Source organism: Homo sapiens, chromosome 4 (assembly GCF_000001405.40).
Source record: "Homo sapiens chromosome 4, GRCh38.p14 Primary Assembly".
NCBI lineage: Eukaryota > Metazoa > Chordata > Mammalia > Primates > Hominidae > Homo > Homo sapiens.
Genome location: NC_000004.12, coordinates 174,385,102 through 174,404,508, shown reverse-complemented (window position 1 = coordinate 174,404,508; position 19,407 = coordinate 174,385,102). Strand labels below are relative to the sequence as shown.

Here is a 19,407-nt window from a genome sequence, read left to right as displayed (position 1 = left end):
AGAAATCCCAGGGAGTTTTATCAAGCAATACTGTCACTCACACCCTGACTTCTGGGCTTTGTTCTTGTCTTTGATTACAAATTTACTCAAACTCTATTTCAAATTAATTATTTGTTAGAATGCTAAGGTAAACGTGGCTTTCCTGTAATGAATGTATTTTTACAACTTGTTCCTGGGATTAATTGTTGATTAAAAAGTTTGTTTGATCTTTGGAAATCCTCTTTGTTTCATTATTATAGATACTTAGGGAACATTTACGAAAGAATTCTTGTGCTTAAGGGAAAATTCCATGTCAGGTGGTTCTCTTTGAATGTCAGCAATGCATAATAGAATGTGCATAATCATAACAAATGAATAGCCACTGTTAATATATTTTCTGACTTGAATCAATTTCCAAATTACTCTTAACTCCTATATAATTCAGATCCAAGATCAAGCCTCTCTGACTCCTGAAGAAATTAACAGTCTTGACTCAACCCCTCAATTTCATAACTTCATAATCCAAAGCCTTCGTCAAAATCTATGAATTCCTCAGGGCCTATCCAGCCAGGCATTTTAACAGCAAGTATTTTTTCCTCAGAAGAATTCTCATATCAGTTACTAAGAATGTATTTTGTTACTGAGATCTTTTGGGTGATTCTATTAATTCTAAACCCCTACTGTCCAATAAAGACTTACAGTCTCAGTGAAACATTTTAATAGATAAAAGTCTATTCTTCTGAATATCCAAATCGCAAAAGGGTAAAGATTCATTTGCTCCATTTCTGAGTCTATTCCTCTAGCTTAAGATCAGATTAGGTAGAAAATTATTATTTTTTTTCACAGCCAGGAACTTGCACACCTAATACCTGCGATACAGACTCTTGTATTTTAGAAGTAAGGCACAAAAACAACAATGTGGATACTGCTACTACGTAGAGGAAAGGGATCCGGGACAGAGCATGCACCATTCCAAGCTCTAGTCACGACATAAAAGCAGAGATTCACAGCTCTGCAGCTCAGAGAAGGCACAAGCCCAGCAACACAATGTAGCAAAAATCAGTGGACAGCCTCCCTGCTATGCCTCGCACACTCCACGCTGCCCACTCTTCTTAGAACTCTCTTGCCCTGGACCACCTTCACCTCCATCCATCCTTACTCAAATCACACCTCAGTGACGCCTGACAACCACACTGTGAAAACTTCCTTCCCGTCCCCCTCCCCTGGCAGTCCCAATCTCCCTTACTCTGCTCTCCTCTCCCCTTTTCCTCATACTGCTAAGTAATCTTCTCATTTATTATTTTTATTGTTTACTGATGGTTTCTCCGATGGTATGTGAGCTCCACAGGGTCAGAGATCTGTTATTTCATAAGCCATTTTCTCTGCTTCCTCCTTTCACTCAACTATTTTTCTCTCCAGCCACGACTTTCTGACCTAGCATTTCCCATTCCCTCATGTTACTGATCTTGCTGCTCCCCTAGTGTGAGGGCCAGCCCCTTAATCCCACCAGTTTATCTAGCTCATTAGTACCTTTACCACTTCATCACCTCACTGTTCAGCCTGAGACACATGATCAGCAACTTTAAGCTGCTTGGAGTCCCCGGCAGCTTCTATCCTTTAATTTTCAGTTCTGCTAAGCCCTAGCCCTGGGAAACCTGCTTTCTACAGTTCTACCCTCAGTCTCCAAACATTAAAATCAAGGTCATAAAATTATGCATCAGAGAAGCACTGAAACATTTTCTACCTAACTTTACAGCAGCTCCCCATTCTTTTATTAACTCTCTGTGGATCTCTCCCTCCAGCCCCTGCTTGGATCTTTTTGCTCAGTCCTCAGCTACTCAGTCTCACCACTCAGCCTGGGCGTTGCCACCATAATGACTAAGAAGACAAATTCTTTGTCACAAAATGCTTTGTATACTCTTTCCCCCACCTCAAACCAGCTCTGTGTCCACAGAACTCTAAATTTCTCTGTGTTTTCAGGTGCCTACTCTTCCTATACTCCTTTTTCAGAGGAAGAGGTGCCCTTCTCCTTGCCCAAATCAGCCTCTCTATCTGTGTTAAGGGTATTCCCCATCTTCCACCTCTTCTGGAACTTCATGCCATCAGACAAATCCTCTTTCACAAACCTTCAATCTCTTGCTCTTCATCTCTTCTGCCTGCAATTGGGCTTATAGCCTGCCCAATTCTATACACTTTATCTCTGACTCTTATATATCTTCCAACTACCTACATTCAATATTTTCTCTTTTGTATCCATCTTCTCATAGATAATTTAATCAATGTACTTTAAATATTTTATATACAAAGACTCTTGTTGTCCAATCTCATTATAAAATCTCGTTGCCCTTTCCCAGTTCCCATCCGCCTTGATGTCTGTGGCATTTGCCATATTTAATCAGTCCTTCTTCAGCCCCTCCTTTTGTTTCAGTCCCAGGCCTATTCCTATTCTTCTACTTCACTACCCACTTCTCTGTGGGTGTCCTTTGTGGTTTCTCTTCTTTCTTCCACACCGTATATCAAAGAGTAGCACAAAGGTTAATCATTGATATCTTGATCCCTGTCATCATTTTTTCCCTCAGGGATCTTAAACATTCTCAGTGCTTACAAATCCATTCTTCCGCAAGACTCATTTCTCCTGAGCTTATCTGATGGTAGCAGACTATCAAAGCTGGAAAGAATGTTGGGGGTTACCTTGTCCAAAATTCCCTTTTGAGATTATCTGAGACAACTGAACCCACCATCACCAAAGAACAAAGAACAAAAACTCAGGATTTCTGATACCTCCCATGTGCTGGTATGAAGGGGTGGGTTGCCACTCCACACCTGTGGGCGTTTCTCATCAGGTGGAACGAGAGACTTGGAAAATAAACAGACGCAGAGACAAAGTATAGAGAAAGAAAAATGGGCCCAGGGGACCAGCGTTCAGCATACGGAGGACCCACGCTGACACCGGCCTCTGAATTCCCTTACTATTTATTGATCATTATCGGGCATTTCCCGGAGAGGGGGATGTGGCAGGACAATAGGATAATAGTGGAGAGAAGATCAGCAGGTAAACAGGTGAACGAATGTCTCTGCATCATAAACAAGGTAAAGAAAAAAGTGCTGTGCTTTTGATGTGCATATACATAAACATCTCAATGCCTTAAAGAGCAGTATTGCTGCCAGCATGTCCCACCTCCAGCCCTAAGGCGGTTTTCCCCTATCTCAGTAGATGGAATATACAATCGGGCTTTACACCGAGACATTCCATTGCCCAGGGATGAGTAGGAGACAGAAGCCTTCCTTTTATCTCAACCGCAAAGAGGCGTTCCTTCCTCTTTTACGAATCCTCTTCAGCACAGACCCTTTATGGTGTCGGGCTTGGGGACAGTCAGGTGTTTCCCTTCCCACCAGGCCATATTTCAGACTATCACATGGGGAGAAACCTTGGACAATACCTGGCTTTCCTTGGCAGAGGTCCCTGTGGCCTTCCGCAGTGTTTTGTGTCTCTGGGTACTTGAGAATAGGGAGTGGTTATGACTCTTAACAAGCACGCTGCCTTCAAGCATTTGTTTAACAAAGAACATCCTGCACAGCCCTTAATCCATTTCACCTTAAATTGACACAGCACATGTCTCAGGGAGAACAGGGTTGGGGGTAGGGTTACAGATTAACAGCATCTCAAGGCAGAAGAATTTTTCTTAGTACAGAACAAAATGGAGTCTCTTATGTCTACTTCTTTCTACACAGACACAGTAACAATCTGATCTCTCTTTCTTTTCCCCACACTGGTAGCATAAAAGGAAGGAATTTATCTTTTAGTCCCACTTCTACAACCAACTTGTTTGGTGGCATTTGCAAAATTATTAAATCTCTTGGAAATTTATCTTCCACTATGTCTAAAATGAAAAAATTTTAACACAATAATTGACTCTAAAATCCCTTCAAATATTAATTGTTCATTGATTTATGATTCTTTGATACCTGATGCAGGATATCACCACAGGATCACAGTCAATCATGTCCAGAAAAAATCATTCATTTTCCTTTTCAGAAAAATAATGTCCACTTTCCTTGGGATTTACTTATCTTGGTGAATGGTACCATGATTCTCTCAGGAACTGACTATACCTGACCCAGTTTTGTACTTCTCCAGATTCACCGGCCCATCATTTTCTGGTGACCCTCCAGGATGAACACTTGGCACCTGCCATGTTCTTATAACCAAAGAGAGGAAGCTTTAATCCTCTCTGGAAAGAGATTCTTTGGGCAATGTTACCTCCTCCATTAGAGAGGCTGGGTCCTTAGAGCCCATCTTCCAGTTGCATTGACATTTTCTTTGAAGGTGTGCCTTCCTATACAACTGCACTATAAACTCTTTGAAGACAAGTGTTTTATAACCTTTCATTTTCCCATGGCTAACAGAATGTTTGCTCTAAATAAATACTTAGACTTTTCTTTCCTTTTTATTAAAAAGAAAAGATGCCATGTAGTGGCCCTACAGGTTAGGAAGAGTAGAAAGGTAATGCTTATGTAAACTCCATTTCCAAATTTCTGTAAGACAGGAAAATTGGATTTATCATTTTTAGGCTCTAGCTGTATATAAAATTTTCAACTCCTTATTGAGTTGGAAATAAATTGGTAAAATGAGGCTGATTGAATTATAAATAATGAAAAAAAACCACAAAACACCAAGAACTACTGATTTTTTCACATCATTCAAGAAAATATTATTACCGACTAGAGAGAAAATATAACAAAAACCTAACTACAAGTAGGTAAAAGAGTTATGGATGATTTTAATTCTTTGAATTTTAGAATTGTTTCAAAATGTCTATAATTAACAAGTATTTCCTTTACAGTTCAAAAAAATAACTGTTGTTTTCAAAAGAGAGGAGCATTTAAATGTGTTTCCACTGGCCAGGTGCAGTGGCTCACAACTGTAATCCCAGCACTTTGGTAGGCCGAGGCAGGCAGACTGCTTAAGGCCAGGAGTTTGAGACCAGCTGGTCAACATGGCAAAACCCGTCTCTACTAAAAATACAAAAACTAGCCTAGCACGGTGGCGCATACCTGTAATTCCGGCTTATTGGGAGGCTGAAGCATGAGAATTGCTTGAACCCAGGAGGGAGAAATTGCAGTGAGCTGGGGTCAGGCCATGCACTCCAGCCTGAGTGACAGAAATCAGAAACTCAAAAGAATGCAACCATTTGTCTCTTATCTACCTTTGATCTGGGAGCCCCCTCCCCACTTTGAGTTGTCCCATCTTTGCCTCAAGTCGTCCCACTTTTCCAGACTGAACCAATGTACATCCTATACATATTGATTGATGTCTCATGCCTCCCTAAAATGTATAAAACCAAGCTGAGCCCTGACCGCCTTGGACATATGCCATCAGGACCTCCTGAGTCTGTGTCATGGGCATGCATCCTCAACCTTGGGAAAATAAACTTTCTAAGTTAACTGAGACCTGTCTCAGATTTTCAGGGTTCATACTCACAAAGACTTATGAATTAATATTAAAGTGTCTAAGGCCTTAAGGTTCTGGGAGCCAACTGATGACTCATAATCTGTAATAAACAGATGGTGCTAAGAAAACATCAGTTCCTTGGAGTTGTACATACTGAAGCAACACACGGTCAGAATGAACCAGAATTGAACATACAGACTGGGACTATAGGCACGCAGTTCTCATAAAAGCCATGCCAGCAATGTTCTAATCCAGTTGTCCTTTCTGTTCTGGATGAATTTTTAAAGGCTCATATCAGATTGGTGAGGACTTCAAATTCATGGAACTAATTGCATGTTTTTAAATGACCATTGCATGAGTAAGATTAACTGGAATTGGTCATGAAAGCTACATGAAAACCCAAGATTTATAGTCCCATCAATGTGGTAGGCAGAATAATAGCTTCCTAAGGATGTCTACATCCTAATTCCTGGAAACTGTGAATATGCTATGTTACATGACAAGAAGGAATTAAGGCTGCAGATGGAATTAAAATTGTTAATAAATTAATGTTGAGAAGGTGTATTAGTTCATTTTCATGCTGCTGATAAAGACATACCCGAGACTGGGTAACTTATGAAGTAAAAGAGGTTTAATGAACTCACAGTTCCACATGGCTGGGAGGCCTCACACTCATGGCAGAAGGCAAAGGCACGTCTCACATGGCAGCAGGCAAGAGAGCAACTGAGAACCAAGTGAAAGGGATTTCCCCTTATAAAACCAATAGATCTTGTGAGACTTATTCACTACCATGAGAGCAGTATGGAGGAATCACCCCCATGATTCAGTTATCTCCCACCAGGTCCCTCCCACAACATGTGGGAATTATGGGAGCTACAATTAAAGATGAGATTTGGTTGGGGACATAGGCAAACCATATCAGATGGGGAGACTATCCTGGATTTTCTAGTGGGTGATAGGTAATCATATGAGTCCTTATAAGTGAAAGAGGAGTCAGAAGAGTCAGTGTCAGAGTAACATGATGTGAGAAAGACTAAACTGTTCATTGCTGGCTTTGAAGAGAGGAGAGGGCTAGCATGAAGCAAAAAGTGCAGGTGGCCTCTAGAAGCTGGAAAAAGTAAGAAAATGAATTCCCTTGGTGCCTGTAGAAAGAAACACAGCCCGACCAAATCCTTGATTTTAGCCTGGTTGGGACTCATTTTGACTTCTGACTTCAGAACTATAAAATAATAGATTTGTGATGTTTAAAATCACTAAGTTTTGGTACTTTGTTACAACAGCAATAAGAAACTAATATAATCAGCAAATATTTTCAATCCCTGAATAATTTCGTTTGAATGTATGCTTTCTATTTACTATTATATAACAGTTTAACTCTGTTTACAACTTCATCTGCAAATACTGCCACACTTGCTCAGGGACAAGAGTCACAATTTATTTGGTTTTGTATCTTTAACAAGTAATGCATATCCTGGTTCATAGAAGTTAAATAAAGTAACCTTTTCTTACCTTACAAGGCAATAATGTGACTGTCAGCTGACAGTCATGGACAGCTCCATCCTTAGGGTACTAGAGATACAACATGAAAGAGTTTGAGTGTAATAATTTGCCTCAAGCATTACATCATTTCTCTCTGGTTTTTACTCCAATCATAAAATGTTAAAGATGGACAATGGTAAGTTATGTCCACTGCTTTCCTTTTAGACGAGGCACAGATTGGTGAATTATTCCCATAATCTCAACAAGCATTAGATCCTGAATCAATTTTCTTTCCAAAACAAAATGCTGACTGGAGGCATTCAAAATTACCTTCATTGGCAAGTGAGAGAACACTAATAATACTTCATGTCCTGACAGCAAACTACCAAAGTGACCTAGCTAGTATTAAGAAAAGAACAACCTTTTCATCTGAAAGAAACAGCCCCTTGGCAGTGGGGTGGAGGAGACATTTTCTTAATACAACATAGCAAAATGCCTAAAGTAAGTATTTTTATATAGAGAAGGAATAAAAATATATTACATATAATTTGTTTATATAAAACAAATCATCGTCCAAGAGATTTGTTTTAAAAATATTTATTTTCAAAATGATTGTACTACTTTTTCTGATTCGATCTTCAAGCTGTGGAAAAACAGAAACTATTTTCAAATGTCTGGCTGCTCACCAGTAAACTCTTTGAAAAAGAAAACAGGCTGTTTAGATTTACCGTCAAAAATGCCTTCGGGATGAAGTGTGCCTTGTCATGGTCAACATCAAATAGAACTTTCTTATATTGGCACATCTTTACTACCAGACTGTTCTCAGCTTGTAGACATAGTTACAAACTATGTATATATAGTTGTACATATAGTTATACATAGTTATCTTATATTTACTTATATTATTATTGCCTTCGTACTTTTATTTTATATAATTTTATGTAATTATTAACTTTGTAGTCAATCTTGAATTCAATGTCCTGTTCATAGGTTGAGTCAGGAAGAAAAAAACACATTCACAATGTGTTTCATGAGGTCAATGATTCTTTTCCAGAAAATAAAGTAAGTGTTCATCTGGTCTTAGAATGTTATCATCAACTTGAAATTTCTACATATTTTTCTCCTTTCTTTCTCTCTCATTTTCTTAGATCCTTTGTCTTCTCTGTTGGCTGCTTCTGCCTCCCACCTTCTCACTCATCATCTCATCAAGCATTAGCAACTTTTTGTTATTGATAAAGTCTGAAGAGTGTTGAGTTGACAAATGTTGTGCCTTTAATAGTCAAAAAATACAACAACAATTTAATCCTGAAACATGGTGATATAGAAGAAGATGGAAGTTTGAGAAGCTGTTTTTATTTAGATCAGTGCAGGCAGATTGTTTTAAATATAATGCCTAGAAATTTTTTTAACTCATGCCCATCTTTACCATCAGAATGTTCTTAGTTTATATACATACAGCTAGTTATCTTATATTTACTTATTTTATTATTACTGTCTTTGTACTTTTATATAATTAACTGCCATCCAGTGACTTTTCTTTAAATGTAGTGAAAAACATTTCACTACAAAATTTCCATTATATCTATTCATTGCAATAGTTCAATTGCATTAAAAACAAAACAAAATTCCACTAAATTTCAGATAGATAGGCAGCAAATATATAACTTGACAAAATCCTAAGTATTCTGAGTCAATTCAGTGGAGGAGGAGGGCAATCTTCAGTGAGTTAAAATAAGAGCATTATATTTTACAGTTGTAGGTGGCCATCAAGGTCATCTAGTCAAGCTACATTGATTCATAATTTTGAAAACTAAGATCCTATATTAACTATCTTTTCTGACCACAGTGGTATGAAACTAAAAATCAAGAACAGGAGGAATCATGGAAAATGAACACATTTGTGGAAATTAAATAACATGCCCCTGAAAAACTGTTGGGTTAAAGAAGAAATTAAAGGAGAAATTTTTAAAATCTTGAGACAAATCAAAATGGAAACACAACATACCAGACTTATGGGATATGTTAAAAGCTGTTCTAAGAGAGAAGTTTATAGCAATAAGCATCTACATCAAAAAAAGAAGAAAGATCTCAAATAAACAACCTAATATTATACTTTAAGGAACTAGAAAAAGAAGTATGACTAAGCCCAAGGTTAGCAGAAGGAAGGAAATAACAAAGATCGAGCATAAATAAATAAAACAGAAACTAGAAAACCAATAGAAAAGATCAATAAAATTAAGAAATTGGTTTTTAGAAAAGCTAAATAAAACTGACAAGCCCTTGTCTAGACTAAGGAAAAAAAAAACTCAAATAAATAAAATTTAAAATAAAAAAGGAGACATTACAACTGATAACAGAAAGAGAAAGAATCATGAGACTACTGTGAGCAATTATGCACTAATGAATTGAACGACCTAGAAAAAATAGATAAATTCCTAGAAACATGTAACCTACCACGCTGAATCATGAAGAAACTGGAAATCTAAACAGACCAATAATGAGTCAGAGTACTAAATCAGGCTTTATAAGTCACCCATCAAAGAAAAACCCAGAACCAGATGGCTTCATAACTGAATTCTATGAAATATTTTTTAAAAACTAATACCAATTATACTCAAACTCTCCCAGAGAACTGAAGAAGAAAGAATACTTCCAAACTCATTTTATGAGGCTGCATTACTCTTCCTCTAAAACTGGACAAAGACACTATGAAAAAAGAAAACTATAGGCCAATATCACTGACAAACAGATGCAGAATTTCACAACAAAATACGAGGAAACCATATTCAACAATACTTTAAAAGGATCACTCACCATGATTAAGTGCGATTTATCTCTGTAATGCAAGTTTGGTTCAACATATACAAACCAATAAATGTGATTCACCATATTAACAGAATGAAGGACAAAAAGTGTATGATTTCTCAATTTGATGCAGAGAAAGCACTTGATAAAATCCAGCTTCCTTTTATGATAAAATTAGGTGTAGAAGGAATGTTCCTCAAAACAACTAAGGTTATATATTAAAAGCCCACAGCTAACATTGTACTCAACAGTGAAAAATTGAAAGCTTTTCCTCTAAGATCAGGAACAAGACAAGGATGCCCACTCTCACCACCTCTGTTCAACATAGTACTGGAAATCTGAGCCAGAACAATTAGGCAATTAAAAAAAAAGGCATCTGCATAGGAAAGGAAGAAGTGAAATTGTCTCTTTACTGACATGATATTTTACATAGAAAATTCAGAAGACTTCACCAAAAACTTGTTAGAACTAATGAACTAATTCAGCAAAGTTGCAGAACATAAAATTAACATACAAAAAAAAGTAGTGTTTCCACATACTAATAACAAACTATGTGAAAAAGAAATTAAGAAAACAATCCCATTTGTAATAGTGTCAAAAATAGATAAATAAAATGCTTATGAGTAAATTTAACCAAAGAGATGGAAGATCTTTATACTGAAAACTATAAAACATTGATGAAGGTAATTGAAGATTACACAAATAAAAGAAAAGATACCCTGTGTTCATGGATTTGAAGGACTGATATTGTTAAAATGTTATACTACCAAAGCAGTCTTTAGATTCAATGCAATCTCTATCAAAATTCTAATGTCATTTTTAACAGAAACAGAAAAACAATTGTAAAACTCATATGGGTCCACAAGAGACCCCAATAGCCAAAGCATTCATAACCAAAAATAACAAAGCTAAAGGCATCATACAACTGGATTTCAAAATATATTGCAAAGCTGTAGTAATCAAAACAGAATGTACTGGCATAAAAACAGACACACTGACCAACCGAATGGTATAGACAGCCCAGAAATAAACCCACACCTCTACAGTCAATTTTGACAGAGGTACCAAGAAGACAAAATGACGAAAGGGCAGTCTCTTCAATAAATGGGAAAACTGGATATCCACATGAAAAAGGATGAAAAGGACCTTTATTTCACTCTTATACAAGAATAAAGTAAAAAATGGATTAAAGACTTAAATGTAAGACATGACACTGTAAATCTACTAGAAGAAAACGTAGGGGGAAAGTTCCATGACAGGTCTGTAACAGTGACTTCTCAGATATAATCCCAGAAGCACAGGCAACAAAAGCAAAAATAGACAAATATAATTGTATTCAACTAAAAAGTTTCAGGGCAGCAAAAGAAACAATAGAGTGAAGAGATAATGCACAGATTGGGAGAAAATATTTGCAAATTGTACATCAGATAAGGGGGCTAATATTCAAAATATACAAGGACACAAATTACTCAGTAACAAGAAAACAAATAAACCTATTTAAAAATGTACAAAAAACCTGAATAGACATTTCTCAAAAGAAGACAGAAGTAGTTAACAGATACAAGAAAAAAATTCTCAATATCGCTAATCATTAGAGAAATGCAAATCAAAACCACAATGAAATATCACCTCATACCTACCTGTTCAATTGGATCAAAAAAACAAAAGGTAAGTGTTGGCGAGGATGTGGAGAAAAAGAAACCCTTGTATACTGGTGGTGATATTATAAATTAGTACAGCCATTTTGGAATACAGTATTGAGCTTCCTCAAAAAACTATAAAAAGAATTGCAATATAATCCAGCAATCCCACTTTGGGGTACAGTATATACCCAAAGGAATTGAAATCAGTATTTTGAAGACATATCTGCACTCCCATCTTCACTGAAGAATTTTTCACAAGAGCCAAGATATGCAAAAAACCTGTGTCTACTGAAGCATGAATGGATTTTTAAAATGTCGTATATATACACAATGGAATACTCTTAAGGCTTAACACACACACACACACACACACACACACACACACACACACAGAGAGAGAGAGAGGAAATTCTGGCATTTGTGACAACACGGATGAACCTAGAAGACATTAGGCTAAATGAAATAAGCCAGGCACAGAGAGACAAATGCCATATGATTTCACTTTTATGAGAAATCTAAAAAAAGTCAAATTCATTCAAGTAGAGAGTAGAATGGACCAGAGGTTGGCAATGATTGGGGCGCAGGAGTAGACAAGGAAAGGGGAGATGTTGGTTAAAGGGTACAGGGTTTCAGTTAGACATAAGGAACATGTTCTGGTGATCTATTGCATAGCATGGTGACTACAGTTAATAATAACGTATTATGGCCGGGCGCGGTGGCTCACGCCTGTAATCCCAGCACTTTGGGAGGCCGAGGCGGGTGGATCATGAGGTCAGGAGATCGAGACCATCCTGGCTAACAAGGTGAAACCCCGTCTCTACTAAAAATACAAAAAATTAGCCGGGCGCGGTGGCGGGCGTCTGTAGTCCCAGCTACTCGGGAGGCTGAGGCAGGAGAATGGCGTGAACCCGGGAAGCGGAGCTTGCAGTGAGCCGAGATTGCGCCACTGCAGTCCGCAGTCCAGCCTGGGCGACAGAGCGAGACTCCGTCTCAAAAAAAAAATAATAATAATAATAACGTATTATATATTTTAAAACAGTTAAAAGAGGATATCAAATGTTCAGTGAGGGATATGCTAACTCACCTAATTTGATTATCCCACAATGTATACATATATGAAAATACTACATTGGACCCCATTAATATATACAATTATTATTTGCCAATTAAAAAAGAAACTAAGGTCCATATAAGTTAAATGAGGAGCATAAAGCCACAAAACTAGTTGGAGGCAGAAATGGCTCTGAACCCTTTTCCCTTTACTCTCAGACCAATGGAACGTTGAGCACAGAATATTATTCGCTGTCTTTGCTGCTATGAAGCCAGTATTCTTGGTTTCCCAAAACACTGGGAATAGAAAAATAGAATTTCAGTTCCCCAGAATGTAACTCCAAAGGAAAAATGTCATATTGTTAGCACAGTTTTACTTGACTTTGGATGCCCCAGTAAACCTGTGAAATCACTTTAAATAGTCTAAAGTCATGCAAATTCCACTCCGAATTGTGGGAATTAACTGAAAAAAAAAAAAATCTACAAGTCTGAACATTCCAAAATAATGGCTTAGCTATTTGAAAGATAAAAAACTCAAAGAAATTATGACCAAATAAGAAGATCACAGAGGTAGTATTCTTAATACAGCAAAATTCAAGTTAAAATTTTATGATGCCTATGTGGTGCCAGAATATAGTGCTATGCCAGAAATAGGCTTCTCAACTTTTCAGTCCATAAATGGACTGAAGTGCCATATACATACAGATTGTACTACATTTGGAGTTTTCCTGTGAGTTCTTCCCATCCAGAATATCATTTGGAGTGTCCCTGTGAATACATTTAGTGTCCCCCAGAATACATTTGGAGTGTCCCTGTGAGTTCTTCCTATCTGATATTCTGGAATATCAGAAAACATTATAGCTGGTTACTCAAGCTATGCTCCTGGCCATACAGACCAGAGGAAAGACCATTTATATACATTGCTATACAAAAGAAAGAACAGGGGATAGCCATACCTGGATCTGACCCATGGAGACCCTGGATTCTACTGATTCTACTTGACAAGGGCATAAAGTAAGGAATATCAAACTTTTTTCTTTAAAAGGCCATATACTGGAAATTTTAGGCTGTGTTAAAAGTACACAATCCTGCCATTGTAGTACAAAGCAGCCATAGACAATTCATAAATGAATGAGTGTGACTGTCATCAATCAAACTTTATTGACACTGAAATTTGAATTTCAAATACTTTTCATGTGTCATGAAATGTTATTCTTTTCTTCTTAACCATTAAAAAATCTAAAAACAATTCTAAGTTCATAAGCCCTTCAAAAACAGACAGCATTATCTCAAATTTATGCTTCAACAATTATAAATCATTTTAAACTCGTTTGTGTTTTGAGCATGCATAGCCACTTTGATAATAAGGTCTACATACTTATTTTCTAGTGTGATATATAGTAGGGATCAGAAAGTAACTCTGTTGGCTTGGAAGGCTGAGATTTGGTAGATAAGTTCCACCCTGACTTTGGAGTTTGGTGATATAGTATAATTATTAAATACATGTGGCTGACCTTTTCAGAGGGTCAGTTGGGTGTATCCCAAAGATCATCCCAGGAATGCATTTTCTGGTTCCGACCAACCTCTCCTTCTTAAACACCTCTTTGAAGACATTGCTTTAGTAAATCCTAATAAAACACAGTGTGTGGAAGGTTAAGAGAAGAAAATAAATAGGGATATAGCAACGCTAGGGCTAACACATCACTTACAAGTTTCTGAATAGGTCATCAGACCACGGGTTAATTATTTGTAAATATTTGTAAATAAAAATTATTTATAAATATATATATTTACAAATATATATACACAATATATATACATTTATTTGTCTATTTATTTATTTATTTATTTTGGGACAGGGTCTCACTATGTCACCCAGACTGGAGTGCAGTGGCATGGTCACTGCTCACTGCAGCCTCGACCTCCTGGGCTCACCTCAGCCTCCCACCTCAGCCTCCCAGGCAACTGAAACTACAGGTATGTGCCACAATGCCCAGCTAATTTTTGTATTTTTGGTAGAGATGTGGTTTTGCCCTGTTGCCCAGGTTGGTTTCGCACTCCTGGGCTCAAGCCACCCACCTGCCTTGACCTCTCAAAGCACTGGGATTACAGTCGTGAGCCACCGAGCCTAGGCAAATATACTTTTAATATAAAGAATGATTACATAGAACTTTCAATAGCAAGCCCCAAAAATTCTGCTTGAGACTAACTAGAATATAGGTTGTTATTTTATTTTATAGTTTTTTCTTACCAGACTATCACAAGTAGAAAATTGAAATTAAAATCTCTTGCTAATTTCTGTTTGTTCTGTGATCTCTTGAAGTGTGAATTTAAAATGCTTCTTTCAGTTCAGATTTGATTGAACATTCTATGGAGCACCTACTCACTGCAGATAAAAGGTGAAAAGGCTTTCTTCCATTCAGGTTACTCAGAGGGCAGACACACCTCATTTTAGTCATCCGATATGAACTGAGTGGCAACTCATTGCTATAAATATCTCCATATCTCCTGTTCCTCTCTGCTCAAACCATAGTTCCTGCCCCTATATGCTCAGCATTTTCCCCAGTGCCCTATGAATTCATTTCCTAAGTGTCTCTTACTTTATTTAAATCTCTCACAAATTCCCAAAGCCCATGTTACAAGGAGGAAGATTCAGCTGGGCAGGATCCCAGGAGATCTAGGGCTGGTTCTAAACCGATGACCTTTTAGCACGCATCTCTTATTTCTGCACTCAGCCCCAAAATAATACCCTAGGAGGAGAGAACAAATAGAGCAGGCATTAGATACAAAATAGAGAAACATTACCAACCAGTGACTGTTACCTGAAATTGTATGTTTATGCAAGTAGGGGATGATTTGGGCCGATTTATCTCATTTCAAGGAAGATAAACCTTCATTACAGTTCTGATTGAAGATTCCCATTGAAATCACAACCTGAACTAAACTACATAAAGCAATAAATATCTAGTTCCAGGGGATTCAATTTTCTAAATTTTTCTGAGCAAGGGGTCTATTGCAACTTTGATCTCATTGCAGCTGCTATGCTGGTCCCCAGCAGGAACTCAAGGATTCCACTTTTGAAGTGTCATACACAACTTTTCCTTGCTATGAAGAAACATGTACTTTCCAGCTGCTACAAAAGTAAAAATTTCCTCCCTGACTCTCCCCAGAGAATACATGCACAGAAAACTGAATTCATCTGTTCTGGTGCTGCTTGGAGGTAAGAAAAATAAAGAGAAAAAGAAAACTGTTCAAAAGGAAAACAATAACCCATTATTTTCTAAGCCAACAGTATATTTGCTTCTTACACAGGCTATAGTAAACACTTAGGAGAAATAGTTGTTACTTTATTTTATTAAAACTACAGGTAAGGTCAAGTTTAGCTGGAACTGTGAATTGGATCTTTACCTTCAGCATTGGCCCAGCCTCCTCTCTGGGCCTCTCACATCTGTTTTGGCAACCCCATTCCTCTGAAGCACTTAGAGCTTCATGGTCTTCTTCCATCCCCCAAAGAGCTGCCAAGACTTTAAAAAGAGAATAGTCATTGATGGATTATATAAAATTGAAAGTCAAATTCACTTTGACCCTGGTAGTATCATAATTAATTTATTCTGGAAAGAAAAAAATAATAGTAATTTGTTGCTCACTGTTGTGGAGCTGGGAAGTTCAAGATAAAGCTCCCAGCAGATTTGGTGTCTGGTTAGAGCTCATTCCTCGTAGATGTTGCTTTCTAGGTGTCCTCACATGGAAACCAGGCAGACTCCCTCAAGCCTCTTTTATAAGGGAATTAGTCCCATTAATGAGGGTGGAGCCCTCATGATCTAATCACCTCCCAAAGTCTCTACCTCTTAATACTCTTGCATTGGAGATTAGGTTTCAACATTTGAATTTTGGTGGGACACAAACATTCACATCGTAGCAAGAGGCATACATAAAGCAAAAGCACATACAAATCTGTGACTTATATACATAGAAAAACATATACTAACTTATAAAAACCAAAATACCTATATATAGTTACATTAATGTCAAGCAAAATAGACATTATAACAAATGACGTAGTGCTACAGGTATTAATATGGTTGATTCTTACAAATATAATATCAAGTTACAGAAAAATACATACAGAGAAAATGTATTTATATGAAGTTAAAGAATATACAAAATTGTTACGTAATATTTAGCAATGCTTATATATGTCATGAAGCAATTGTTGAGGAAACACAAAGAGCCTTGGCAGTATTTGTCTAGCCATGAGTATTCATGGTATTATTTTCTATATTCTTTGGTACATTTTATATTATTAATTAATTTCCTCTGTATTACACGTTGGTATACCTGATACATATATACATATATTATATTCCTATCTTTTAAATAAATAAATGGAAGTAAAAAATGTTAACAGTTTGATTTGTTTTAAAAATTATGACTGTGTTTTTAAACCAGAGGAGCTTTCTGGCAACGTCATCTGGAAATAAAACTGCACTTGCCAGCTGCCTTTCAATTATACTGCTCATTTTCTCTATCTTTCAGACTTGTAATCAGAGACAGATCTGGACACGTGAGTTTTAGTTTTCCACTTTGCACTTATAATTACTACCAAAATAGTTACACTCTCTGATGGGCTCCAAATGCATTGCCTAAAGCTTATTTCTTAGTGGGTTCACTTTCTAAATTGTTTGCTCCAACTGATCCTCTAAGAGTCAAAGACACAGGGATCTAAAAGATGAAATAACCAAAAATTATCTGCTTGAGTATTTCCTGGGCCAAGCCAATCAGTGCCTCTCTTTCTCTTTCTGCCTCTCCCCTTTTTCTCCCTCATTCTCTCTCTCTCTCTCTCTCTCTCTCTGTCTCCTTTTCTTAACATAGAAAAGGGAATGAAGAAACAGGAACTATGCAGCCCTGGTCTCCCTGGGACCCTTTCCACAATTCAGTCGTTAGCTCATCTGCCTTGTCTTTTACCATTAGGACTCCACCAGCAAACTGATTACTGGATGCTTCCTGTATGCTCCAGTCAGGATCTAGCCAAAAATGGAATCACAATTCACAGCTAATGTACAGGAATAAAAGCTGTTATTTTTCCTATCAGATGTCCTATAAACTGTAGTTTGTTTTACCAGTAGATTTATCCAAGTTGAGCTTTATTATTATTGTTTTTAACTGATTTGAGTACTTTATGTTTTAATAAGTCATTTGGTCATTAGCAGTCCATACCTTGTGAACCAAGCCACATGGTGAAACAGGTTATGCAAACTTAATTAGTCCGACTGGGAGTTTGAGGAGGCATAATTCACTCTCTAGATGCCTCACGGTAGCATTGTTATGTGGCATTTTTCTGTGTTGTGGGTGGAAAGGTAACTTATATATTTTACTCTTTTCCATGATTAGGAAAATGGCAACAGGGGTCAATTTTAAGTCATCTGAATTCATTACACATTTCCCAATTAATTTGAAGAAAGCAGTTCATGATATATGCAAACATTTACCTGTTTTTGCAACTGTGTTTTGTTAAATTGTGTAGCTATGTTTGCAATATTTATAAAAAATTAAAAGAACTTGAACACCCAAAAATGAAGGCTTTATTAAGTGTGGCATATTCATATAATGGAACATCCTTTTAAAATAATGTTTTAAAACAATATTTACTGGCAAAGAAGGTTAATAATATGTTGCTAAACCAAAGAAGCATGATGTCTTTTTATGTTTACAAATAACAATAATATGAAATCTGAAGAATATACAATAAGATGAAGATAACAGTGATTACTTCCTGGCTGTTGTTGGTATAAGTGACTTTTTAATTCTATTTTACTTATCTATATCTTTCAATTATTTCTGAACAATCATATATTCATATATTGCCTGTGTAATAAAAATAAAACAAAGAAATCTACTTGATTCAAATCCCCTTACATTAAAATATGGAATGGGACATTCAAGCAGAAATAAAGTTCCGATTTTTAAAGATGGAATAGCACTTCAGAATGTAAAACCTCAATTTTCTTCCTGCATTAGGTACATGAGAAAAGGGATCACTGGTGATACGATTTGGCTGTGTCCCCACCCAAATTTCCTCTTGAACTGTAGTTCCCATAATCCCCACATGTCATGGGAGGGTCCTGGTGGGAGGTAATTGAATCATGGGGGTGGTTACCCCCATGCTGTCCTCATGGTAGTGAGTTCTCATGTGATCTGATGGTTTTATAAGAGGCTTTTCTCACTTTGCTTGGCACTTCTCCTTCTTGCTGCCATATGAAGAAGGATGTGTTTGCTTCCCCTTCTGCCATGATTGTTTGTTTCCTGAGGCCTCCCCAGCCATGCCGAACTGTCAGTCAATTAAACCTCTTGCCTTTATAAATTACCTAGTCTCAGGTAGGTCTCTATTAGCAGCATAAGACAGGACTAATACATTTGGTAACAAGAAGCAAAATTACTAGAAAACTTTGTGTCAGCCATTTCCATAAGTAAGATTTACAAGATAGTACCAGCTAAAGTAGGGACTAAAAGAGATTAGTCAAATCAAGCACCTACTAATTAATTCAAGGGCCAAATATCCTTATTATTCTGATTTACCAACCATCCAGATAAGGCATATTCAAAGAACTTCATAAATTGTGACAGTTATTAACAATCAGATTGGACACTTGGGAATGCCCAAGGTAAGGATGGAGCCTCTGGCCTGAGAAAGAATGGTGACATACCTCTTAGTATAGAATTATTTTTATGGATTTTCACTTCCTGAAAGAGTACATGGCCTTAGGCAATGCACTTTGATACACGTGGTAAAAATAACTATTGTAATTTTTTTTTAAAATTTCTTGGACTAGGTGGTTCTTCCACTGAAAAGAGATGAGAAATTTTAAAAAATAGTGGTTTGAATTCAAAATGGGTTAGCATTTATAAAAATTAGATTTGCCTTTCTTCTAACATTATTATATTAGTAGCATGGTCATCTAGGTGCCTTGGAATAGTGGTAAACTCTACAGATACAAAAAT

The 19,407-nt window shown here is 36.9% G+C and overlaps 1 long non-coding RNA gene across 3 annotated transcripts in view; it reads right to left on the bottom strand.

Annotated features, from left to right (window-relative positions):
• Positions 1 to 6,122: 6,122 nt before the first annotated feature.
• Positions 6,123 to 19,407, bottom strand: part of LOC105377547 (uncharacterized) — a 43,658-nt gene continuing 30,373 nt past the window's right edge. For 2 of the 3 annotated variants that reach the window (XR_001741920.1, XR_001741919.1), the window contains 5 exons: positions 15,817 to 15,932; positions 15,009 to 15,158; positions 13,923 to 14,036; positions 6,941 to 7,000; positions 6,123 to 6,154 (listed from right to left, as the gene is read on the bottom strand). This is a non-coding gene — a long non-coding RNA (uncharacterized LOC105377547). Of the gene's footprint in view, positions 6,155 to 6,940; positions 7,001 to 7,515; positions 8,181 to 13,922; positions 14,037 to 15,008; positions 15,159 to 15,816; positions 15,933 to 19,407 lie in introns of those variants that run through there. The other variant, XR_939487.2, reaches the window with a different exon arrangement.